This window comes from Homo sapiens, chromosome 3, assembly GCF_000001405.40.
Source record: "Homo sapiens chromosome 3, GRCh38.p14 Primary Assembly".
Classification (NCBI taxonomy): domain Eukaryota; kingdom Metazoa; phylum Chordata; class Mammalia; order Primates; family Hominidae; genus Homo; species Homo sapiens.
The window spans coordinates 197,397,892-197,424,933 of NC_000003.12; the positions used below are offsets into that span (position 1 = coordinate 197,397,892).

Sequence of the window (27,042 nt, forward strand, 5' to 3'; positions counted from 1 at the left end):
AAATATAGAAATACAGGTAGTGCCAAGTATTGGCAGGGATGTGGGACATAGCCACTCCTGTACCCTGCTGGCGAGAGGACAGATTGAGAGGAGTCGGCATTGGCAGTGTTCCGGGGCACACACAGGCATTGTTAGTCACATTCGGTATAACATGCTAGCAATGCCTCCACGAGGTATACATCCCAGGCCGCTCTTATGCAATTCTGTAAGGAGAGGTGTATGCAAATGTTGCCTGCACAGGAATTAGTGGTGGGAGCTGGAGACTCCCTGAGTTTCCATCACTGAGATGGAGAAATAAAATACAGTGAATGCACGCCAGGGAGTACGATGAAACAGGACTGAGGCAAAATAATAGACGTACACATAGCAGCATAGACGGATCTTAAGAACAGTGAAAAATGGGGGAAAAGCATGTAAAAGCGTTAGAAATAATGAGATAGAATATGTACATAAATTTAAAATACTGCAAATGCTATTTGTATGAAAATATGCGAACAAAACGATACACATGAAAGAACTAGGAATCATGTGCAGTGAGAGAAGGAAATGGAATTGCAGGATGGGGACTAAAAGGAATAAGGAAGTAAATAATTCACGAGGGGGTTTCCCAGGGACCAACGATGCTGACATCCAGGGGCCAAGGAGTAGGAGTAACTCAACTCTGTACATCTGACTTCTAAGACTAGCAGCAGCAACCACCACCATTTGAGCCCCAAGAAAGCAAGCTCAGGTTCTGCACCTTCTCTTTCTCTGAGATCTCCCCTCAAAGGTCACAGGCTGAGTCACTGGAAAATGGCAGAGCCCTGCCCCACATCACTCCCCACTCTTACGTATAAATGAAATGACACACACCTCTGATCTCCAGTGGGCTAAAGAGGTTGGCACCTGCATGGAGGTTCATGCCCCTTGAGGCAGAATTGACTTTGCTGCAGGGAAGGATGCTTTCCATTCTCTTTCCCACCAACTCTCCCACCTTTGATTCCAATCAAGTCACCAACCAAACTGAAATGCAATAGGCATAAGCTCAATGCTTGCCTTTGATCAAGACCCTCATGACAGACGGAGGAAACACAACCAACTCAGAGTGATGTCTTAGATCTTGCCCACCTGGGCCAGGCGCGGTGGCTCACGCCTGTAATCCCAGCACTTTGGGAGGCCAAGGTGGGCGGCTCACCTGAGGTCGGGAGTTTGAGATCAGCCTGAACAACATGGAGAAACCCCGTCTCTACTAAAAATACAAAAAAAAATAGTTGGGTGTGGTACACATGCCTGTAATCCCAGCTACTTGGGAGGCTGAAGCAGGAGAATTGCCTGAACCTGGGAGGCAGAGGTTGCGGTGAGTGGAGATCGTGCCACTGCACTCCAGCCTGGGCCACAAGAGCGAAACTCCATCTCCAAAAAAAAAAAAAAAAAAACAATTTTGCCCACTGGGAGAGGGCCCAAAACAGTGAGGTGACATCTGGCCTGACACTTGCCTGACAAGTTCTCTGGGCTGATGGAGAATGAGCTTGAACCCTCTTATGAAATCTATCCTGCCTGAACTCTCAGTCCCAGAAACCCTGGAGGCCCTGAGAGAGCCGGAAAAATCATGAGGCTTATCAGTTGTTCTTGGGTCCCATTTCCCACCGTGGCTATTCCAACCCCCAACTGCTACCCCTGACATCCCCAACCCTATCCCACAAACAATTGAGAACCAAGGCCAGGTTACCAGTCCAAAGTGAGGAACACAGAGATTGAGATCCAGGGATGCAGAGGAGAGCTGGGGTGGGAAGAGTGAGGGAGGCCCTGCCACTCAGGCTCATAAATGTGTAAAAGGAAAATAAATCTTGGGACCCAAAAATCACTAAGCCAAGAGAAAAGTCCAGCCGGGAACTGTCAGGCAAACCTGCCTCCCATTCTATTCCTGGATAAGATAGCTACAAAGACAAGAAGCTACAGACCTCCCTCACAATTTGCCCGTGGGAAAATTCCCTGTGGACGAAGGCCAGGCAGAGCTCCAAGTCTCCCTCTGAGGCCCACCAGACACAAACGCACATCTGATGGCTGCCTCTGCCCTACCGTTTATGTAAAAATGCAGATTCACTGAGCCAGACTAAATTGTGTATTCAGTGGAAGGCTGATCAAGGACTCAAAAGAATGCAACCTTTTGTCTCTTATCTGCTTCCTACCTGGAAGCCCTCACTTCCAGTTGTCCTGCCTTACAAAATTGAACCAATGTACATCTTACACACATGGATTGATGTCGCATGTCTCTCTAAAATGTACAGAATGAAACTGTAAGGCCGAGTACGGTGGCTCACGCCTGTCATCTCAGCACTTTGGGAGGCTGAGGCGGGCAGATCACCATTGGTTGGAAGTTCGAGACCAGCCTGGCCAACATGGAGAAACCCTGTCTCTACTAAAAATACAAAATTAGCTGGGCGTGATGGCGCATGCCTGTAATGGAGAATCGCTTGAACCCGGGAGCCAGAGGTTGCGGTGAGCCGAGATCACGCCACTGCACTCCAGCCTGGGCAATAAGAATGAAACTCCGTCTCAAAAGAAAAAGAAAAACGGTATCCCCGACCACCTGGGGCACATGTCGTCAGGACTTCCTGAGGCTGTGTCACAGGCGTGTCCTTAACCTTGGCAAAATAAACTTTCTAAATTGACTGAGACCTGTCTCAGATATTTGGGGTTCACAGATGGAAACAGAAAGTCAAGTGGTCATAATAGTGCTGCGAACCCCCTGGCCAGCACCGGGCCCTGACTCCCAGGCCAACTCTCACTTTTCCTCACTATCATGGTGATGACTATACAGTTATTACTATATAAGGAGTCTCTTCTAGGACACCAGCATTGCATTCCACAAACAAGTCTGTAATAAATAAGATCCCTAGGAAAAAGGAGAGTCTCAGGATCCATGGTAATGGAGTTTGTGTAGGTAGAATTTTTTAATCATGTTTTCCTTCTGGGTCCAGAAAGTCAGCTTCTGTGCCTGCCTTAATGCTTCATCCTGGAAAGCTCAGGGTAAGCTGGGTCTTGCTGCTGAAAGGTGTTCTAAGGACAGCAGTTGGTCAGTGATGGTATAAAATGCCTGTGCACAGTAGGCCTCTCCAAATGTTAGCTCCCTTCCCTACCTCCATTTTCCTTCTCCCGCGTTGTTTTCACTGAGGAGTCATGCTGGACCCCAGGAGATCTGGCCTCTGGTCTTGGCTCAGGTGTCTTTTTACAGCCTGGTCTTAAGCAAGAGGCTCTCCCTCCCTGTAGCCTTCTGTTTCGCTGACTCTAGTTTCTCATGTTTAGAAACGGAGCTAGTATCATCTATCTTGGTGGTACCCAGCTTGGTCCCCACTCCCTTTTTTCTAGCCTTTGGAAAATGAAAAATATTAAATTTTAATTTTTTAAATAGAAAACTATAAAAAGAAGCTATAATTAACCATGATCCAGGTAAGCTGTGTTGGCATTAAAAGATGGGAAGGAGGCACATGATTAGAAAATAGAATCAAGGGCAAGGTGTGGTGGCTCACGCCTGTAATCCCAGCACTTTGGGAGGCCAAGGTGGGTGGATCACCTGAGGCCAGGGGTTCGAGACCAGCCTGGCCAACATGATGAAACCTGTCTCTACTAAAAATACAAAAATTAGCTGGGCATGTGGCGTGTGCCTGCAGTCCCAGCTATTCATGAGGCTGAAACAGGAGAATCACTTGAACCCGGGAGGCAGAGGTCGCAGTGAGCTGAGATCGCGCCACTGCACTCCAGCCTGGGTGACACAGTGAGTCTCCGTCTCAAAAAAAAAAAAAAAAAATAGCATCAACATGGAAACATACTAAATGAAAATTGAGGAGTTACCTTCTCCCATTCCCACTTTCCATAGTAACTACCTCCCAAAAGTAAACTATTAACAGTTTCTTATCATTCCATCCAGAAAAATTATGCATATATATTGACATGCCCTGTTTTTAAAAAGTACACAAAATTGGTCATATCCTAAATAGTATTCTCTAATTTGTTATTTTAAACTTAATAATATATCTTTTATACATATATATAAATCTATTTTATTCTCTATAACAGCTAAATAATATTTTGTGAAATGGACATACGATTCAGTCCAGGAAGATTTTGAAGTTTCTCTCTTTTTTTTTTTTTTTTTTTTTGCGAACACTCGCTCATCCTCTTGCCCCTTGATTTTCTCCTGAGAGTCTGACTTGGCCAGGAGCTGTGATTCAGGTGACAAGTAAGATAGAGAAGTTTCTGTGTACCCAAACGTCCGCGGCAAAATTGCTGTGAAACTGTTATGGGTGACAGTGTTTGCTTGTTTCCCTTACTAGAGAAAAGTTCCAAAGTCAATAGCCAGTTTGCCATATATCTTGATGGCTGAACATTTTGGACAAACTTCAATGTTTTCAACAATAAAATTCCAGATTTGGAAAGGACCTGTAGGTCATTTGGCTTAACCTCCTTGAACTCACTGTAGAAATTTCTTCTACAAGCCTCTGTGTTATCTTTTTTTTTTTTTTTTTTCTGAGACGGAGTTTCGCTCTTGTTACCCAGGCTGGAGTGCAGTGGCACAATCTCAGCTCACCACAGACTCCTTCCCCCAGGATCAAGCTATTCTCCTGCCTCAGCCTCCTGAGTAGCTGGGATTACACGCATGCGCCAACACACCCAGCTAATTTTGTATTTTTAGTAGAGACGGGATTTCTCCATGTTGGTCAGGTTGGTCTCGAACTCCTGACCTCAGGTGATCCACCCACCTTGGCCTCCCAAAGTCTGGGATTATAGGCATAAGCCACCGTGCCTGGCCTGTGTTATCATTTACTGTCACTATATCATAATATCGAACAACTTTTACTAACAGAAATTCTTCCTCATTTCCCCAGACCAGTCACCATGCAATGTCCCCGCACTGGCCCCACTCTGCCCTTTAAAACATCCTTGAACATGTGTGTTCCTCTTCCCACACAGCTCTCCAGATGATTGAGGACCACACTCACATCCCTCTGAATCCACTGTTTATTCCTTTAACAAATATCTCTCTAGAGCCTGCCATGTTTCCAGCACGGAGGCAGGCACCTTGTAAACTCCACGAAGGCAGAGAGGTCAGTCTAACTTGCTTCATGTGGTAACCACAGCACCTAAAAGGGCTTTCTGTGCAGTAGGCATTTAATACATATTTGTTGAATAAATGAATGAATACGAAGGTGGATAACATAGTCTCTGTCCTCAAGGAACTCTTAGTGTAATGGGAGTGGGGGAACAGAACTATAGGCAATTCTAATCTAGGAGCCATGAGAGAATGTGAGTAGCAGAACCTCAAAGGACAGGCCCCTAACCCAGCATTCGTTACCTTCCCTTCTCCACTGTGAGGGATCATCCATTACCTTCCCTTCTCCACCACCTCCCTCATGCACTGTGATGTCAGCCACATCATTCTGTCATGGTATGTCTGCGTGTCTGTTTCCCAATGAACTGTCAGCTCTTTGAGGACAGGGACTGAGTTTTATTTAGCTTTATAACCCTAATGCTTAGCACAGGGTCTGGCCTAGAGGATGCATTTCTTATTTATTTATTTACTTAGATTCATTTTATTTATTTATTCGCTCTTGTTGCCCAGGCTGGAGTGCAGCGGCATGATCTTGGCTCACTGCAACCTCCACCTCCTGGGTTCAAGTGATTCTCCTGCCTCAGCCTCCCAAGTAGCTGAGATTACAAGTGCCCACCATATGCCTGGCTAATTTTTGTATTTTTTAGTGGAGACGGGGTTTCACCACGTTGGCCAGGCTGGTCTCCAACTCCTGACCTCAAGTGATCCGCCCACCTCAGCCTCCCAGAGTGCAGGGATTACAGGCGTGAGCCACCATGCCCGGCCCATATTCGTTAAATGAAGTGACTGACGGATGAATGGATGGCTAAATGAATTAATATATTAACACTCCCACAGAAAAAAAATGAAGTATCTGCTTTCATGGGATTAAATTAGTCTTGCCTGATATTTTATCAATACAAAAACTTAGTGAAATAGAAGTGACAGCAATCTTGGGAGGAAACGACCATGACACCTAGGGCTCCACAGAGCCTCACTGTTTCAACCAACATTGAATGAGCACCTACTCTGTGCCAGGTGTGCTGCCAGACTCTAGGTCAAGACAAATGAGACACAGCTCCTGCCTTGAAGGTGCTCCCCGACTAGATGAGGAGATGCACATGGAAATCACGAGGCCGCAGGTGACTCTGACAGGGTGACAAGGGTGCTGTGCAGGGTGGGATGGTCAGGAAAGCCACTTGGAAGAGAAGACGCCTGAACGGGGTCCCGAGGAAACTGTCCGGGTAAGGAGATGAAGGAAGGCCATTCTAGGTGGAGGGAGCAACAGGGGCAGAGCCCGAAGGGTGAGGACAGGCCGTTTGCAGGTACTGCATAGCACCTGGGGAGAGCAGGGAGTGGAGGGAGGGGGAGCGGTGGAGGTGGGGCCAGATCGGGAAGGGCCTTATAGGGCTGCTAAGGAATTTGGACTTGACCGTGATGAGGCCATGAGGGAGCCATTGAAAGAATTCCAAACTCCCAGGATAATCAGATTTTTTGCGTTTTAGAAGATTGTTCTTACAGCACTTTAGAAAATGGATTAGGCTTGCACGGTTGGTGGCTCACACCTGTAATTCCAGCACTTTGGGAGGCTGAGGTGGGAGGATCACTTGAGGCTAGTCGGCCTCCCCAAGTGCTTGGATTCCGGGTGTGAGCAGCACTGTCTCCCTGGCTGCTTCAGTCTTCTGCAGACAAAAGGCTCTGTTAAATTTGCAAGTTACAAGCACCTGAGCCACACAATGGGCCAATCAACCAAATCATGTGTAAAGCTATCTCCTGGCTGTGAGGAATAAAATCAATATTTTAAGACCTTAATTTTTCAAATGCTATACCCCAGAGGTGATTCATAACTTGAGGAGCGCCTCAGTAGGAGAACACGGGCTAAGGATTTGTGTGAACATGGCTTAGCCTGCAATTTCCCATATGCAATCGGTCAAAGGGCTGACAAAAGATAAAATCACAGAACTGTTCTGACACAGCTTCCCAGGGAGATCCCAGAGGAGCCAGGCTGCTCCCGCTAAGAAGCCTAGACTCAAAATAAGGAGAGAAGAAACTTGCACTAAGGAAGGAGCTGCGGCCCCCAGGGCTCTCCGAGTGCTGGTGTCTTCAAGAATTCCTGCATCCTTTGCACAAAGTGGGGCTGGTAAAGTGGCAGGGGTGGGGTGGGAACGGGGGAGAATGGGACTCTTCCAAACACTACCTTTAGAATAAAGTGTAAAATATTGGCCGGGCGGGGTGGCTCACACCTGTAATCCTACGAGGTGGGCGGATCAACTGAGGTCAGGAGTTCGAGATAAGCCTGGCCAACATGGTGAAACCCTGTCTCTACTAAAAATACAAAAATTAGCTGGGTGTGGTGGCGGGCGCCTATAATCCCAGCTACTTGGGAGGCTGAGGCAGGAGAATCATTTGAACCCAGGAGGCGGAGGTTGCAGTGAGCCGAGATTGCACCATCGTGCCATTGCACTCCAGCCTGGGGGACAAGAACGAGACTTCGCTAAAAAAAAAAAAAAAAAGTAAGCTATTTTCTGAGAAAGTGCCAGTCGTCTTGTATCCCTGCCCCTAAATCATCACTTCATGCAGGAAATTAGCCTCCTGTCCGTGGTGCATGTGCCATTAGGACCATGTGTCACTGAGTGGACTGGCATGGGGGTGGCGGATCAAGTTAAGAGTGTGGATGGAGGCCGGGTGCGGTGGCTCACTCCTGTAATCCCAGCACTTTGGGAGGCTGAGGCGGGCGGATCACTTGAGGTTGGGAGTTCAAGACCAGCCTGACCAACATGGAGAAACCTCATCTCTACTAAAAATACAAAATTAGCCAGGTGTGGTGGTGCGCGCCTGTAATCCCAGCTACTCGGGAAGCTGAGGCAGGAGAATTTCTTGAACCCGGGAGGCGGAGGTTGCGGTGAACCAAGATCGTGCCATTGCACTACTCCAGCCTGGGCAACAAGAGCGAAACTCCGTCTCAAAAAAAAAAAAAAAAAAGAGTGTGGATGGTTTGGTAAAAACTCACCTCACTAACGGAGGAAGCAACCAAACCCAGCCTAGAGAAATGGAGGCGGCGTAGCATCGTGGATGCTCCTGGATTGGCATGAAGAAGCCTTGAGTTCTGAGTCCCGGGCTCTGCCACTGTGTGACCTTGGACAAGACAACGATCCCTCTCAGCATCAGTTTCTGTAACACTAAAATAATGATAATAATCTCCTCCGTACTGGGTTCTTGGGAAGATGAAATGCGGTTAAGAAGATTTGCAGGAGCACTTTGCTGTTCCCTCAGACTGTGTATTAGTCAGGACACTGCTTTGGTTTCTGTAACAGAGACCAAAATAATAATGGCTTAAACGAAATAGAATTTATTTTTCTCTCACATGAAGCCCCACGCTGGTGTGGCTGCTCTGGCCTGTGAGGTCATCAGAGCCCCGCTTCTTCTGTCTTACTGGCTTCCTTAGCCTGCTCCAAGATGGCTCCCTGCCAGGACCACATGCCAGCCAGCAGAAGGGGCGGGGGGCCGAGGGAGGGCAACCCTGTCCACATAACCCAGCACTGTCTACACGCTTCCTCCCTCTTCCTGTTAGGGTCCAGCGTCACATCCACCTCTAAGAGAGGCTGGGAAATGCAGCTGTTTTCTGGGAAGCCTATACTCAACTAAAAATTCTGTGATTATGAAAGAAGAGGAAATGGACTTTTTTTTTTTTTAGATGGAGTCTCACTCTGTCGCCCAGGCTGGAGTGCAGTGGCGCGATCTCAGCTCACTGCAACCTCCACCTCCTGGGTTCAAGCATTCTTCTGCCTCAGCCTCCTGAGTAGCTGGGATTATAGGCGACTGCCACCACGCCTGGCTGATTTTTGTATTTTTAGTACAGACGGTGTTTCACCATGTTGGCCAGGCTGGTCTCCAACTCCTGATCTCAGGTGATCTACCCGCCTTGGCCTCCCAAAGTGCTGGGATTACAGGCTTGAGCCACCATGCCTGGCCCGAGGAGATGGACTTTGAGGGACAATTCAAAGTCCGCACGATCTCCCCTATTTGTTTGTCTAATTCCCTTACATCCTCAGGTCTCGGGTTTATGTCACTTCCTTGGGGAGGCCTTTCCAGACCCTCAGTGCTCCATGAGCCGCCCCCATTGCTCCCTCACGCCTCCTTCACAACACTCGCTGCGCCTGTAATTTTTGACTGACTGTCTATTTTCCCATGAGAAGGTAATTCTGTACCCATGGACTGTGCTTCCTCCCGAGGCCTGCCTGTGGAGGCACAGAGTGGATACTCGATACATCACTCTGACGGGTAGCGAGGTGCGATCCCCAGAGGGCTCTGGGAGCTCCTCGGGCAGAGCTTCACGGCTTCGGGCCACCACCAAGTCCTCTCCAACCCAGGATGTGTTTGGAAAGAAACTGGTGCCTGCTACTGCTTCCTCAGTGGTGGGCGTGCCGGCACCGTGTCCTTTTATCTGCTAGTCCTCTCTTTGTGTGGGCCTCTAGAACTGCTCAAGTCCAGCCTCAGATAGTCCGTGAGGGGGTAACTGTGCCTTTTCGTAATCTTGCTTCTCAACTCTGTTGTTCAGGATCTGGGAATGAACAGAGGGTGTTGTGGGAAGAGCTTTTCCCAGCACAGAGGCCAGAATGAAGGACACAGGGAGAGATTTGGTTTTCCATTCCCGGTCTCTATAATGCAACTAATGGGCCCGAAGCCTGCCCTGTGAAGAGGTGGGGAAGGAACCTCAGTAGAGGATGTCACCAGGGAGTTGACCCCCACCCCCTCTGTGGGGGCAGATGGCTCCCCAGGGTCTGGGCACTGTTTGGCTCCTGGGCAGCTCCCTGGTGCTCCACTTCAGTAACCTCTAGCTCACTCTGGCTTTTTTCTTTCTTTTTTTTTGAGACAGTCTCACTCTGTCGCCCAGGCTGGAGTGCAGTAGTGTGATCTTGGCTCACTGCAACCTCCACCTCCTGGGTTCAAGCAATTCTCCTGCCTCTGCCCCTGAGTAGCTGGAATTACAGGTGTGCCCCACCAGGCCCAGCTAATTTTTGTATTTTCAGGAGAGGCAGGGTTTCACCATGTTGGCCAGGTTGGTTTCAAACTCCTGACCTCAGGTGATCCACCAGCCTTGGGCTCCCAAAGTGCTGGGATTATAGGTGTGAGCCACTGCACCTGGTCTCACCCTTGTTTTGACATAAAACGCATCCTTTTCTAAGAAATCTTCTTAGCTCATTTTCTTTGTTCCGAAGAATGTCTTTTGGGAATTTCGTCAAACATGACTCTGGTTCTCGTGTTGAGTGGAGGGCTATGCCCTGGGGTTGACCTTTATCCCATTACATTCTCGGCACCCTCCATTTTTCTTTGATTTAAACTAGAGGGAAGCTTGGCTTGGGCTTGGAGCAGTCAGCTCTTTCTGGCAGTCTGCAGAGCTGCTGAAGGGGAAGTCACCAGACACCAAGCCCTGGCGGTTGCTAGGTGCTCAGGTTACACTGATACACAAAATGAGCGTATTCAAGACCCAAGTTCAAGTTTCCCTGCTTATAATTTTCTGGAGAGTCAGGGAGGGAGCAGCCATATCCTACCCACAGCCCCTGGGAACTCTGCCTCATGTCTGGCATCAAGGGAATCTTTCCTCCCAACGGTGGCACAGGACTGACCTGGGAACCCACACAATTGCAGCTTCATTCTGGCAGCTGGGGTTTTTGCCCCATAAAATGGCAGTGTCCCTTTAATTCCCTGCGGGTCTCCTCTCCGGGCTGGCAGTAGGTTAAATGGATCAACTGACCAGCCCTTTCTCACTGGGGGTTGTGGGATGGAAATTCTTCTTACTTGCTTCAGCTTGTGTCCAGGAACAAAGAACAGTTAAGCAGGGATTAACTTTTCCCTCTGTTGGTTTCTCTGTCCTTTCTCAGAAGAGTACACGTCTAATTCAGGGACATAGGTTCCTCTTGGAGCCCCACTTCTTTCCTTCCTTGACCATCCATGGAGCTATTGACTGTCCCAGCTGTTCTAGTCTTCTATACTCCCACTGTGGGGAGCAAAGTGTCTCTCTGGGTTGATTTCCCAGCGTGGCTCCTTGCAACTCTGATTTTAGCTTCACCTATTTCTCTCCAGCACATACCCTGGACTGGCCCTCTACACATTCCAAAAACTTTCTATTAGTGATGTTATTTCCCCAAGTAGCCTTCTTTTCTGAAAAGAGAATATATTGAACATCTTATACACACATTCTTGTTCTCATTGAGATTTGACAGCAAAGGGTGGTAGAAAGCGCACTGATTTGAGAGTTGGGGTTTCTGGGTTCTCATTCTACCTTTGGCATTAACTAGTGTGTGACATGGAGAAAGTCGCTTCCCTTGGCTCACGGTCCCCTCTATAAGGCCAGTGAGTCCTTCCAATGCTAACTCTCTAGTGTCTATATTGAATAATCTTGCCATCTCTTGTGGGTTTGATCAGCATTTTGTCAATCCCCATGACAAACCAGTTTCCAGTTTGGCATGTTTCTGGTGGAGCTAAGGCTGTTGGAACGTGGGAACTGGTCATGATCCATTCTTCATTCTCTCCATTGAGGGCACCCAAAATAAAAGCCAATGGTTTAACGACAGTACTCGGGATGGGGACAGCTGAGATTAGGCCCAGGACGCAACCTCCTCACACTGATATTGAGACCACAGGAGACTGTGGTATCTTGTTCTTGCGGATTCCATGACAACCTGAAGTGTCCATCTCAAAAATGTCATCCTACCACACCATATCCCTCGCCTCCTAAACTCACACCTTAGGCCAATCCTGAGGGCAGCATAGTAACTGGACATGACCCACCAACCATGCTCCAGAAGAGACATCCTGGCTGCCACAGGTCTGCACCTTCCCTGCTGAGGCAGAGCCTTCTTTCCTGAATTTGTTTGCCAAATTCATGTGTCCCCAAATGGTCCTTCTTATAGAGATGTCTGATTTGCAATCCTTACAACACCTTCATTGCTTTAAAAGAATGCAGGAATGGCTGAATAGGAACAGCTCCGGTCTACAGCTCCCAGCGTGAGCGACACAGAAGACGGGTGATTTCTGCATTTCCAACTAAGGTACCGGGTTCATCTCACTGGGAAGCGCCAGACAGTACGTGCAGGACAGTGGGTGCAGCGCACCATGTGCGAGCCAAAGCAGGGCGAGGCATCGCCTCACCCAGGAAGCACAAGGGGTCAGGGAATTCCCTTTCGTAGTCAAAGAAAGGGGTGACAGACAGCATCTGGAAAATCGGGTCACTCCCACCCTAATACTGCGCTTTTCCAACAGGCTTAAAAAACAGCACACCAGGAGATTATATCCCGCACATGGCTCCGAAGGTCCTACGCCCATGGAGTCTCGCTCATTGCTAGCACAGCAGTCCGAGATCAAACTGCAAGGCGGCAGCAAGGCTGGGGGAGGGGCGCCCGCCATTGCCCAGTTAGTTGTTTGATTAGGTAAACAAAGCGGCTGGGAAGCTCCATCTGGGTGGAGCCCATCACAGCTCAAGGAGGCTTGCCTGCCTCTGTAGGCTCCACCTCTGGGGGCAGGGCACAGACAAACAAAAAGACAGCAGTAACCTCTGCAGACTTAAATGTCCCTCTCTGACAGCTTTGAAGAGAGTAGTGGTTCTCCCAGCATGCAGCTTGAGATCTGAGAACGGGCAGACTGCCTCCTCAAGTGGGTCTTTGACCCCCGAGTAGCCTAACTGGGAGGCAACCCCCAGTAGGGGCGGACTGACACCTCACACGGCCGGGTACTCCTCTGAGACAAAACTTCCGGAGGAACAATCAGGCAGCAGCATTTGTGGCTCACCAAAATCCACTGTTCTGCAGCCACCGCTGCTGATACCCAGGCAAACAGAGTCTGGAGTGGACCTCTAGCAAACTCCAACAGACCTGCAGCTGAGGGTCCTGTTTGTTAGAAGGAAAACTAACAAACAGAAAGCACATCCACACCAAAACCCCATCTGTACATCACCATCATCAAAGACCAAAGGTAGATAAAACCACAAAGATGGGGAAAAAACACAGCAGAAAAACTGGAAACTCTAAAAATCAGAGCGCCTTTCCTCCTCCAAAGGAACGCAGCTCCTCACCAGCAACGGAACAAATCTGGACGGAGAATGACTTTGATGAGTTGAGAGAAGAAGGCTTCAGATGATCAAGCTACTCCGAGCTACAGGAGGAAATTTGAACCTATGGCAAAGAAGTTAAAAGCTTTGAAAAAAAAAATTAGACAAATGGATAACTAGAATGACCAATGCAGAGAAGTCCTTAAAGGACCTGATGGAGCTGAAAACCAAGGCACGAGAGCTACATGACAAATGCAGAAGCCTCAGTAGCCGATGCGATCAACTGGAAGAAAGGGTATCAGTGATGGAAGACAAAATGAATGAAATGAAGCAAGAAGAGAAGTTTAGAGAAAAAAGAATAAAAAGAAACGAACAAAGCCGCCAAGAAATATGGGACTATGTGAAAAGACCAAATCTACGTCTGATTGGTGTACCTGAAAGTGACGGGGAGAATGGAACCAAGTTGGAAAATACCCTGCAGGATATTATCCAGGAGAACTTCCCCAATCTAGCAAGGCAGACCAACATTCAGATTCAGGAAATACAGAGAACGCCACAAAGATACTCCTCGAGAAGAGCAACTCCAAGACACATAATTGTCAGATTCACCAAAGTTGAAATGAAGGAAAAAATGTTAAGGGAAGCCAGGGAGAAAGGTTGGGCTACCCACAAAGGGAAGCCCATCAGACTAACAGCTGATCTCTTGGCAGGAACTCTACAAGCCAGAAGAGAGTGGGGACCAATATTCAACATTCTTAAAGAAAAGAATTTTCAACCCAGAATTTCACATCCAGCCAAACTAAGCTTCATAAGTGAAGGAGAAATAAAATACTTTACAGACAAGCAAATGCTGAGAGATTTTGTCACCACCAGGCCTGCCCTAAAAGAGCTCCTGAAGGAAGCACTAAACATGGAAAGGAACAACCCATACCAGCCACTGCAAAAACATGCCAAATTGTAAAGACCATCAAGGCTAGGAAGAAACTGCATCAACTAACGAGCAAAATAACCAGCTAACATCATAATGACAGGATCAAATTCACACATAACAATATTAACTTTAAATGTAAATGGCCTAAATGCTCCAATTAAAAGACACAGACTGGCAAATTGGATAAAGAGTCAAGACCCATCAGTGTGCTGTATTCAGGAAACACATCTCACCTGCAGGGACACACATAGGCTCAAAATAAAGCGATGGAGGAAGATCTACCAAGCAAATGGAAAACAAAAAAAAGGCAGGGGTTGCAACCTAGTCTCTGATAAAACAGACTTTAAACCAACAAAGATAAAAAGAGATAAAGAAGGCCATTACATAATGGTAAAGGATCAATTCAACAAGAAGAGCTAACTATCCTAAATATATATGCACCCAATACAGGAGCACCCAGATTCATAAAGCAAGTCCTTAGTGACCTACAAAGAGACTTAGACTCCCACACAATAATAATGGGAGACTTTAACACCCTACTGTCAACATTAGACAGATCAATGAGACAGAAAATTAACAAGGATACCCAGGAATTGAACTCAGCTCTGCACCAAGCGGGCCTAATAGACATCTACAGAACTCTCCATCCCAAATCAACAGAATATACATTCTTTTCAGCACCACACCACACCTACTCCAAAATTGACCACATAGTTGGAAGTAAAGCACTCCTCAGCAAATGTATATTATAACAAACTGTCTCTCAGACCACAGTGCAATCAAACTAGAACTCAGGATTAAGAAACTCACTCAAAACCGCTCAACTACAAGGAAACTGAACAACCTGCTTCTGAATGACTACTGGGTAAATAATGAAATGAAGGCAGAAATAAAGATGTTCTTTGAAACCAACGAGAACAAAGACACAACATACCAGAATCTCTGGGAAACATTCAAAGCAGTGTGTAGAGGGAAATATATAGCACTAAATGCCCACAAGAGAAAGCAGGAAAGATCTAAAATTGACACCCTAATATCACAATTAAAAGAACTAGAAAAGCAAGAGCAAACGCATTCAAAAGCTAGCAGAAGGCAAGAAATAACTAAGATCAGAGCAGAACTGAAGGAAATAGAGACACAAAAAACCCTTCAAAAAATTAATGAATCCACGAGCTGGTTTTTTGAAAGATCAACAAAATTGATAGACCGCTAGCAAGACTAATAAAGAAGAAAATAGAGAAGAATCAAATAGACGCAATAAAAAATGATAAAGGGGATATCACCACCGATCCCACAGAAATACAAACTACCATCAGAGAATATTATAAACACCTCTACACAAATAAACTAGAAAATCTAGAAGAAATGGATAAATTCTTCAACACATACACCCTCCCAAGACTAAACCAGGAAGAAATTGAGTCTCTGAATAGACCAATAACAGGATCTGAAATTGAGGCAATAATCAATAGCTTACCAACCAAAATAAGTCCGGGACCAGATGGATTCACAGCCGAATTCTACCACAGGTACAAAGAGGAGCTGGTACCATTCCTTCTGAAACTATTCCAATCAATATAAAAAGAGGGAATCCACCCTAACTCATTTTATGAGGCCAGCATCATCCTGATAACAAAGCCTGGCAGAGACACAACCAAAAAAGAGAATTTTAGACCAATATCCTTGATGAACATCGATGCAAGAATCCTCAATAAAATACTGGCAAACCAAATCCAGCAGCACATCAAAAAGCTTATCCACCATGATCAAGTGGGCTTCATCCCTGGGATGCAAGGCTGGTTCAATATATGCAAATCAATAAATGTAATCCAGCATATAAACAGAACCAAAGACAAAAACCACATGATTATCTCAATAGATGCAGAAAAGGCCTTTGACAAAATTCAACAACCCTTCATGCAAAAAACTCTCAATAAATTAGGTATTGATGGGACATATCTCAAAATAATAAGAGCTATCTATGACAAACCCACAGCCAACATCATACTGAATGGGCAAAAACTGGAAGCATTCCCTTTGAAAATGGGCACAAGACAGGGATGCCCTCTCTCACCACTCCTATTCAACATAGTGTTGGAAGTTCTGGCCAGGGCAATCAGGCAGGAGAAGGAAATGAAGGGTATTCAATTAGGAAAAGAGGAAGTCAAATTGTCCCTGTTTGCAGATGACATGATTGTATATCTAGAAAACCCCACTGTCTCAGCCCCAAATCTCCTCCAGCTGATAAGCAACTTCAGCAAAGTCTCAGGATACAAAAATCAACATACAAAAATCACAAGCATTCTTATACACCAATAACAAACAGAGAGCCAAATCATGAGTGAACTCCCATTCACAATTGCTTCAAAGAGAATAAAATACCTAGGAATCCAACTTAGAAGGGATGTGAAGGACCTCTTCAAGGAGAACTACAAACCACTGCTCAATGAAATAAAAGAGGATACAAACAAATGGAAGAACATTCCATGCTCATGGGTAGGAAGAATCAATATCGTGAAAATGGCTATAGTGCCCAAGGTAATTTATAGATTCAATGCCATCCCCATCAAGCTACCAATGACTTTCTTCACAGAATTGGAAAAAACTACTTTAAAGTTCATATGGAACCAAAAAAGAGCCCGCATTGCCAAGTCGATCCTAAGCCAAAAGAACAAAGCTGGAAGCATCATGCTACCTGACTTCAAACTATACTACAAGGCTACAGTAACCAAAACAGCATGGTACTGGTACCAAAACAGAGATATAGACCAATGGAACAGAACAGAGCCCTCAGAAATAATGTCACATATCTACAACTATCTGATATTTGACAAACCTGAGAAAAACAAGCAATGGGGAAAGGATTCCCTATTTAATAAATGGTGCTGGGAAAACTGGCTAGCCATGTGTAGAAAGCTGAAACTGGATCGCTTCCTTACACCTTATACAAAAATTAATTCAAGATGGATTAAAGACTTAAATGTTAAAACTAAAACCATAAAAACCCTAGAAGAAAACCTAGGCAATACCATTCAGGACACAGGCATGGGCAAGGACTTCATGTCTAAAACACCAAAAGCAATGGCAACAAAAGCCAAAATTGACAAATGGGATCTAATTAAACTAAAGAACTTCTGCACAGCAAAAGAAACTACCATCAGAGTGAATAGGCAACCTACAGAATGGGAGAAAATTTTTGCAACCTACTCATCTGACAAAGGGCTAATATCCAGAATCTACAATGAACTCAAACAAATTTACAAGAAAAAAAAAACAACCCCATCAAAAAGTGGGCAAAGGATATGAACAGACACTTCTCAAAAGAAGACATTTATGCAGCCAAAAAACACACGAAAAAGTGCTCATCATTACTGGCCATCAGAGAAATGCAAATCAAAACCACAATGAGATACCATCTCACACCAGTTAGAATGGTGATCATTAAAATGTCAGGAAACAACAGGTGCTGGAGAGGATGTGGAGAAATAGGAATACTTTTACACTGTTGGTGGGACTGTAAACTAGTTCAACCATTGTGGAAGTCAGTGTGGCGATTCCTCAGGGATCTAGAACTAGAAATACCATTTGACCCAGCCATCCCATTACTGGGTATATACCCAAAGGATTATAAATCATGCTGCTATAAAGACACATGCACACGTATGTTTATTACGGCACTATTCACAATAGCAAAGACTTGGAGCCAACCTAAATGTCCAACAACGATAGACTGGATTAAGAAAATGTGGCACATATACACCATGGAACACTATGCAGCCATAAAAAATGATGAGTTCATGTCCTTTTTAGGGGCATGGATGAAACTGGAAACCATCATTCTCAGCAAACTATCGCAAGGACGAAAAACCAAACACCTCATGTTCTCACTCATAGGTGGGAATTGAACAATGAGAACACATGGACACAGGAAGGGGAACATCACATACCAGGGACTGTTGTGGGGTGGGGGGAGAGGGGAGGGATAGCATTAGGAGATATACCTAATGCTAAATGAGGAGTTAATGGGTGCAGCACACCAACATGGCACATGTATACATATGTAACTAACCTGCACGTTGTGCACATGTACCCTAAAACTTAAAGTATAATAATAATAAAATTAAAAAAAACAAAGAATGCAGGAGATATCTCCTTCTAATTACATTTACAGCTCACTTTCTCTCCTATAGCAAACAGACCCAGGTGTTGTCTTTTTTTTTTTTGACTTGCAAATATTTCGGATTTGTTTGGACAGCAGATTTCTTTCCAGGTTTTTGGAACGCTGAAGTCACTGACACATGGCTATGGAGATATACTGTAGCTGAGTGCAAACATCCCTGATTCCTAGTACAGTCAAACCTGCGTTTTAGGCCATGGTGGGTACAGGGAGGGATGAGCCTGACGTGGAACTGTCCCGGGGGCTGCCGAGAATGGCACTTTTCTGTCTGCAGAGACCTTGAAGAGGAGATCTGAACAAGGTGTATCATCATTTGTCTTGAGCCCTCTCACTCCCCACCTCTCCCCTTACCCTGTCCCAGGGACAGGCTGATTCTACTTCAGATCTCTATTCAGCATTGTTCCCCTTTTGGGAATAGTAATGGAACAGCCTAGATCCCGGGGCATCGTCCTGCCAAATTTCTAGTCTGAGTCTAGCCCCACTTACCATTAGGCTCCCATTAGCCTGTTAGGCCCTCTTATCTAAAGGGCACATATGAAGCAAGACGCAGTCTGGGGAGAACTGGCTGCCAAAGCCAGACACCTTGGGATCCTGCTCATTATTGTGACCTCCCTCATCCCTGAGTTAAAGTCTTAATCTGTGCATACTCGGTGGAAACTTATTTGTCCAAAGTTGTTTGTCTATGTTATTGCTTTAGGGCCTCCAAAGATCTGGCCAAGTTAGGTGGCATTAGAACAAGTATCTTGGCTGGGCGCAGTGGCTCATGCCTGTAATCCCAGCACTTTGGGAGGCTGAGGCTGGCAGATCACGAGGTCAGGAGATCGAGACCATCCTGGCCAACATGGTGAAACCCTGTCTCTACTAAAAATACAAAAATTAGCCAGGTGTGGTGGTGCGTACCTGTAGTCCCAGCTACTAGAGAGGCTGAGGCAGGAGAATCCCTTGAACCTGGCAGGTGGAGGTTGCAGTGAGCCAAGATCGTATCACTGCACTCCAGCCTGGTGACAGAGCAAGACTCCATCTCAAAAAAAAAAAAAAGAGCAAGTATCTCTATTTTTGTTCTCTTCCTGTGCAACTTGGTTGCACTATATAGTTGTACCTTTCTGTTGGTTTTATTTGATTCCAAGAGTGATGATCTTAAGTTTTATATAAATATTAAATATTAAATTTGCCTGCTTGGTGTGCAAGCAAAACCTCTAATCATTAATTTTGGTCAAGTTTAAAACAGAGATTCCCATTTATGGCGCACGTCGGTATAAACACGGCAGCTTTATAAAAATTCCCATGCCTGAGGCCCATCCCCCCAAAATCTATTTTAATTGATTTGGAGTAGGGCCTGGGTATTGATTTTTTTTCTTTTGTTTTTAAAAAGCTCCCTGATGATTCTGTTTGCAGCCAGAATTGAGAGCCGTTGTTCTGAATGATGCCTGAGAAGAGTGTTAATCTGGCGTGTGTCGGGGCAAGGGGAGGCACGGTCGAGGGAGGTGTTAAACTGAGTTGGCTGACTTGTTTTGTCTGTCTTCAGCCCAGTAGCTGGACAGGAACAAAGTCAAGACTACAGTGCAGTTATGTAAGGCTTGAGGATAAGCCTCTTCCACTAAAACTGACTCATTACTGTGTGTATATTCCATTTAAAGCAATCTAGAGCAATAATGTGGAAATACTGGGTGAGAGCCACGTTTTGTGAATATGGTTAGGGCCCAATAATGGTCAATAATCATTCTATGACCAGAATGGAGAAGTGACAGTAAAAAAGAACTCTCCCATTTAAAATAATCTGCACTGGAAATGCCCCAGTGTTTCTCGTAATACCGGCTGATACTGAGCCCAGTAACACACTCATATTGCCTTGAATTTCAAGACAGCACTGTGGTGATCTCTGATGATTCGAGGCTCACATTTTGCCATCTCTTGCACCCGAGCTGAACTTCTGGCTCAGTGTGTCTGAAGGCAGAGTGGGAAGACAATTCAGGTAGCAGAGAAGTGAACAAAGGACATTCCCTGAATAGGCGAATTCAAGCTCGTTAGCAGTTAGTTAGCCTGGAATGAGGCTGATCATCTGTCGGCGGAATTTTTCAGGAGCTGCAAATGGTTGGAATCTTTGTTTTCCTTTTCCTGGGAAAGAGAGGTCCATTAGCTCTCCAGCTGCATTAGAGCTTAATTTATTTTGTTTTGTTTTGGTTTTTAACACTGTAGAGGGGACAGTACATTCCAAATGTTAGAGGACAGCTAAGGGAGATTCGTCCTCTTTAGAGGGTATCATTAAGCATATGGTGCCTCACAGGGATGGGGAAGGCAGTGCACAGGCAGGAGCCAAGACAGGGATTAGCTCATAGAAGGCGGCTGGCTGGATATAGGAAGAGCTGCCAGGTAAAGGGACCCAAGCTTGGGACTTAAAGCTCAGGTCTAGTCGTGTTTTTAAAGAGTTGTCATCTTTCAAACATACAAGGGTAAAGATTTAGGAACTGCCCTCAGGAATGAGATGCATGAAACTCACAGACAAACCGAAATCCCAGAATCTTTGGTACCTAGTGGACATTTCCCTGGGGCTGACTCCTGGGCGGGGTGTCTGCTGCCCTCCACTAACAGCCAGGGAGCCCAGCCCTTGGTATAGGATTCCTGGGCAGGGTGTCTGCTGCCCTCCACTAACAGCCAGGGAGCCCAGCCCTTGGTATAGGAGTACAGGCTGAAGTGCCCAGGGGTTTACCCGATCCCACAGTTTTAGAGGCAAGAAGCTGACATTTAAGGCTTGAATAGTGCTCCTTTTCTAAGTAAATGACAACCTGGAGAAAGGTCTAACTGAGCCAGGTGTTCGACATTTTCAAACTGACTTTCTTTTCAAAGAGACCTGGAAGATTGACTCCCATCGTACTCTCTCCCAGCCTCCCGGTGGAAAGGGAGTCCCTAGTCCCATTGTGGCTCCAGAATGTGACAAAGGCACAGGCACAGGCTCAGCTTGGCTTAGCCTGCTGTCCCTTCCCGAAGGCTGTGTCTTCAGTGGGATGAGAAAGACTTTGGCAGAGGCTTTTAGGCTATGAACAGGCCAGGTGCATTTAGTCAGCAGTGTAAGCTAATACCAGAAAAGATGAAGTAGAGAAAGGCGCTGTGAAATTGCCACCTGAGGCAGAACCATATGAGGCTGAATCCAGGGGAGACCCTGTTTCTCATGGCCCTTGCCTGATGGTCATGATAAATTAAATACAAACACCTACCCATATGCTAGAAATTGATTTCAACTCCTTTACCAAATAAGCAAAATATCGGCATCGATTATGTATAGTTAGATCTCTGTTTGCCAATCAATCTTCTTCTGCAATCCCCGATCTGCGCTAGACAGAGCAAACCCCTTCTCTGTGCCACCTGAGCAGTGCTTTAGTTGGACTCTGCTATGCTCACTGCTTCGGACAGGGAAAGTGACTCTCCCAGGCTACAGTGGACCTGTAACTTACTCATCTTGCATCCTCAGCAGTGGAAGGCTCTTGGTGAACGTCAATGGAATGAACCTGTGTGTGCATGTAGTCCATCTATTATCTCTAATAAACACTGAAAGCCAAAGAACAAGGATGGAGTAATCAGGAAACAGAGAGAGAGGTATCATCAGGTAACCAGGAGGAGTAATCAGGAAATAGAGAGAGAGGTATCATCAGGTAACCAGGAGGTAGAGGCGTAAGGTTGAAACATATGAAATCATTCATAGCCAGTTAGTTTCTCTTCTAACTGACCTTCTAAGTGACCTTCTAAGTGACCTTCTCCTGGTCACCTCACTCCCCACATCCCCAAAGGAGGAAGTGCAGTGGACAGGTGTTGGCTGAGAGTCCAGAGGACCTGGATCAAGAGTCAGGAGGGTGGGCTTCTCTCTAATTGAACGTGTGGCTTGGAGTCAGTTCCTCTCCTTTTCTGGGCTTCAGTTTCCCCTTCTCTAGAAGAAGAATAGACTAGGTGGCCTCTCAAAGTCTTTACAGCTCTGATATTTTGTAATTTTATGTATCTAATGCTATAATTCCAAAGTATTAAAGAAAAGGGCAGTGCCCCATGGTTTGAGGGGCAGAGACTATAGCACAGATTGCACCAAACCCTGAATTTACCCAGCAGCCTTTGGCCCTGGAGGACCTAAGTGAGTTTCAGCCTGAAAACACTCAGTGTTTCCAATGCCAGACCCCAGCTGCACAAAATAGGAAAAATCTTGTTAGGAAATGACCACAGTCCCCTAGAGCTGTGGAAAACATTGCCTCAGACAAAAAGGACTTTTCCATTGGGAAAAAAAAATCAGCAGTATTGTGTCTGCTGATGCTGTCTGCCCAGGCGGTTCTCATCGAGTCCTGCCTACTCAGGTCCCTGGCTCTGGGGCAGTTCTTTTCCACTTCATGTTGGTCCTAATGGTAAATGCAGGTTGTTCTCCTCTTCTGGCCCCAACTGTCCCAGGAATCAGACTTGGAAGTCATTTTAAAATTCATCTTTGGACTGTCTGACTTTTCAATACTTCCTCCAGAGGCAAAAATCACAAAATGCTTTCACCGCAATGGGTCTCAGAAGTTATCTCGTGATACCTATTTAATCCCCTGTCTGTGGAGGAACATGACGTCCCAGGTAGGGAAGTGCATTGCTCAAGGTCACATAGAGAGGTCAGGGGACCTGGTCCTGAGCCCAGTTCAGGGTTCTTTCCATTTCCAAGCTGTCTCTAGCCACAGGGCCAATTCTCTTCTACCTTCCCACAGCAGATGTTTCCCAACCAACCAACTAGCCAACCAGCTAACCAACCTGCAAGTATTTCCTATAAGCCTTGGACTGTGCATTCTCTGATGCTCTGCTGTAAACGATTATTTTTTTACTGTTCCAAAATGCAGCAGTAAAGAGTAAGCACTCACCTTTGGGGGCAGAGCAGAACTGGCCTGCTTCTTTGAGTCCTGCTTCGATTTCTGGAGCTTAAACATAGTGTCCCATCATTCCTTGAAGACATGCAGCTGCTAAGAAAGAGTTGCATATTTGTAAGTGGGGGCCAGTGAGAGATGTCTGGTCAGACCCCAGTTCTGGGGCGGGGTGGCTTTGGTCTGAGTGGTGGTCAGACCTATGCAGGAAGCCGCACCAGGCAGAGAGGAGGCCTCGGCCCGCCCAGGTTCCCACCCAGGTGTCCACCCTGGTGCAGTCCCCTCTGTCTGCCACCACGAGGACCTCTTCCTGAGGTTCCAAAGTTGAGCCGAGTGTAGTCCTTGCCCAGTCGATGCTTTCTGGGCTCACTCTCTCAAAAAGGAAGTAGCCCCTTTTATTCTTAGACCACCACAGATGCAGACAAAGCCCGGATTTTAAAGAGGAAATTTCTACTAAAATAAAATAGAAAATAAACAAAACCTAGATAAGATTATATTTATAGACTATAATTTTCTAAATAAAATGTAAAATGCACATTTATGGTAGAAAACGTGGAAATATATGTTTTAAGAATTCATAAGCCCACCCATCGCCTAGCCCAGTGCCGCCTCTGACACGGTAGCAAGTAAGCATGCGCTGCTCCCGAGCATTGGAAATGCGGCTGATCTGAACGGAGATGCACTGTAAGTATAAAATATACACCGGAGTGGAAGATTTAGTTCAAAAAATGTAAAATATCTCATTAATACTTTCAAAAATACTCATTACATGCCTGAGATGATAACATTCTGGATATATTGGACAATACATAATTTTTTTTTTTTTTTAGAGTCCAGTGGCATGATCTTGGCTCACTGCAACATCTGCCTCCCAGGTTCAAGCAATTCTCCTACCTCAGACTCCCGAGTAGCTGGGATTACAGGCATCCGCCACCACACCCAGCTAATTTTTGTATCTTTAGTAGAGACAGGGTTTCGCCACGTTGGTCACGCGGTCTCAAACTCCTGACCTCAGATGATTCACCCGTCCTCGGCCTCCCAAAGTGCTGGGATTACAGGTGTGAGTCACTGCACCCATCCAGCCAACAAATATATTATTAAAATTAATTTGACCTGTTCCTTTTTACTGTTTTCAGAAGCTACTAAAAACCGTAAAATCATATATATGACTCACATCACATGTCTGTTGGACGGCCCTGACCAAGAGAAACCACGGATAACATTCTGGCGCACCTGCTCCATTGTGGGGTGTATGTATTTGACGAGTCTGGCTCCTGGTCAAACACCTATGTGTGATTTTTCAGGTCTGACTGCAAGCAATGGCAGAGGCTTGACCTGGCAGCCCTCCTGGGGAAGCTCCCCTCCCCACACCAGACCTGGTGCCCAGCCAGCACACAGGAGGCTCTGAGGGGAGTTAAGGACTCAGCCCTGCTATGCTATGCTCTTCACATATTTGCATTCCTAGCCCAGTGTCTTCATTCCTAAATCTCTTTCTCTGAGGCCTTCGGCTGAGGTTTTTTTTCAGGTGCCTCTTCCGAGGCCTCTTTACCAGGGGGAGGAGGGCGAACCCTGAAGACATGCTTCCCCACTCTGAATCAGCACCCAGGATTTTTCCACTCTACCCCACACCCCGACCCCAGGGTCCATAAAACTGCTGGAGCCTTTGGTTGGGGGCTCCCTCAACAGTGCAATGTCCGCCACATCTGCACGGATCCACCTGACCCTTGAACGGTGCACTGTTTCATGGGGAAAATGAAACAGGAGAGCCAGCGGCTTCTCTGGCTTTAGCCTCCTGTTTATATTAACACTGTTATAGCAAGTGATTAAAGGCTGCACTGTTACTTTTTTTTTTTTGGCTCATTCTTGCTGTGATGGGCTACTCTGACACCTGACAGCTCAGCTCTCTCTCCCAGCTTAGCAGAACTCCCAACAGTATTTTTTAAATTTTTTTGGGGGGGCTGGACAGAGTCTCACTCTGTTGCCCAGGCTTGAGGGCAATAGCGCAATCTTGGCTCACTGCAACCTCCACCTCCCAGGTTCAAGTGATTCTCCTGTGTCCGCCTCCTGAGTAGCTGGGATTACAGGCACCTGCCACCACGCCCAGCTAATTTTTGTAATTTTAGTAGAGATGGAATTTTGCCATATTGGCCAGGCTGGTCTTGAACTCCTGACCTCAAGTGATCCGCCTGCCTCAGCCTCCCAAAGTGCTGGGATTACAGGCATGAGCCACAGCGCCCAGCCCTCCCAACAGTATTTTTAAAAACAAAACAGTAATCATATTGAAATACAATTATATCTGTATCAGTCAGGATCCCAACAGGAGACAAATGGCACTGTCAAGTTAGGGTAACTCAGGGAGGTTTTATTTATAAAAAGCTAACTAATAATAAACTTAAGGTTGGAGTGTAGGAGAACGAAAAAAATAGCTCAGAACCTCAGGGCTGGCGGCGGCAGACCTATGACCATCCCTAAGTCCTAAGGGACCCGAGGAGGGATGGGCTCCCAGAACCAGGAAAGCGAGGCAGCTGTGCTTAGGACCCGAGGAGGGATGGGCTCCCAGAACCAGGAAAGAGAGGCAGCTGTGCTCAGGACCCGAGGAGGGATGGGCTCCCAGAACTAGGAAAGAGAGGCAGCTGTGCTCAGGACCCGAGGAGGGATGGGCTCCCAGAACCAGGAAAGAGAGGCAGCTGTGCGGAGCTGGGGGGCACTTAAAGGAAGAAAACGACCAGCCCAGGGCACGGGCATAGGAATGCAGCCAGGGAAATAAGCACCCTGGAGTCCCTTTTCTCCTTCCCCCTGATTTGCTAAGGCTCTTCATTGGCTGAATCCAGTCAGAAGCTGGAGGAGATGGAGTCCCTGTTGCCCTAGTCCTCTTTCAGTGCAGGAGGCAATGGAGGTGGCCGGAGATGGGAGTAGGAGGATGGGGTGAATCTATACAGGCAAAGAGCTGACTGTGACCAGCCTGGACAACACGTCGAAAACCCGTCTCTACTAAAAATACAAAAACTAGGCAGGTGTCGGGAGGCTGAGGCAGGAGAATCACTTGAACCCAGGAGGCGGAGGTTGCAGTGAGCCAAGATCGTGCCATGGCACTCCAGCTTGGGCGACAAGAGTGAAACCCCATCACAAAAATTAGCCAGGCATGGTGGCGCGCCTGTAATCCCAGCTACTTGGGACGATGGGGCAGGAGAATCACTTGAACCCAGGAGGTGGAGATTGCAGTGAGCCGAGATCGAGCCACTGCACTCCAGCCTGGGCGACAGAGCGACAGAGGGAGACTCCATCTCAAAAAACAAACAAACAAACAAAGAGCTGTCCGCACTTCTGCACTTTTTCCTTGCAGCATTGCCCTAAGTCGTAGCCTAATTGCCCTATTTCCTTGTTAATGTAACAAGTCTTAGTCCCTACGGTGACCGAGTGGGCGCAATTTACCAAACACCCCACCCAATGCCTCTATCCTGTCTGGGTTTCTAGCCTGAGCTAGATTCAGAGGGCACTATCTGATGGGGTGTGTCTGCACACACACATGCACGCGTATTGTACTCTTAGTCCCTATCAGAATACGCTTCCTTCAGTCTTAGCGGTGGGTGTGAGCCCCCGGGCCTCTGTGTCTCTAGCCTTGTAGAGCTCATCCACTGTGTCTTCGATGGGCTGCTTCCTTTGAATCCTGCCCTCATTTCCACTGTCCTCAGCCTCTGCTTTATTGAGATGAGTCCCACACCTCCCACCCACTCCACCCCACTCCTTGCTGGCTAAGCACAAGTGCCTGGTACCCTCCAAAAAAATCGTTAGTCTACGAAAAAGGGGGAATCTGGAAAAGATGGGAGTGACCTCTGTAAGCTAAGATTTCCAGAGCTAAGTGCACTCCCCTGGGAGAGCACGCAGACCTCCACTCCCTAATTGAGTCTTCAATTGTCTAGTTTAAGTTTGCTGGAAAATTAGATGAAAAAACTC

General features: G+C 46.5%; 1 long non-coding RNA gene across 1 annotated transcript in view, besides 3 other annotated features; it reads right to left on the reverse strand.

Moving 5' to 3' along the window:
- Positions 11,802-13,001: an enhancer, noted in NCBI's record as "BRD4-independent group 4 enhancer chr3:197136564-197137763 (GRCh37/hg19 assembly coordinates)". NCBI's record gives its function as "activates an origin of replication core promoter dependent on BRD2, P300/CBP, MED14 and CDK7 cofactors, and independent of BRD4, by STARR-seq in HCT116 cells {active_cell/tissue: HCT116}" and the evidence as "EXISTENCE:reporter gene assay evidence [ECO:0000049][PMID:35650434]".
- LOC105374308 (uncharacterized) overlaps positions 17,696-27,042 on the reverse strand; it is a 42,702-nt gene continuing 33,355 nt past the window's right edge. Inside the window, exons 4-5 of the long non-coding RNA NR_189108.1 lie at positions 23,089-23,187; positions 17,696-20,338 (exon numbers count right to left, since the gene is read on the reverse strand). This is a non-coding gene — a long non-coding RNA (uncharacterized LOC105374308). The remainder of the gene's footprint in view (positions 20,339-23,088; positions 23,188-27,042) is intronic.
- Positions 20,020-20,535: an enhancer, noted in NCBI's record as "NANOG hESC enhancer chr3:197144782-197145297 (GRCh37/hg19 assembly coordinates)". NCBI's record gives its function as "activates a minimal SCP1, AML or CMV promoter by ChIP-STARR-seq in naive H9 embryonic stem cells {active_cell/tissue: H9 hESC(naive)}" and the evidence as "EXISTENCE:reporter gene assay evidence [ECO:0000049][PMID:30033119]".
- Positions 20,147-20,441: a silencer, noted in NCBI's record as "tiled region #1192; HepG2 Repressive non-DNase unmatched - State 23:Low, and K562 Repressive non-DNase unmatched - State 21:Repr". NCBI's record gives its function as "represses a minimal TATA promoter and a strong SV40 promoter by Sharpr-MPRA in HepG2 and K562 cells {active_cell/tissue: HepG2 | K562}" and the evidence as "EXISTENCE:reporter gene assay evidence [ECO:0000049][PMID:27701403]".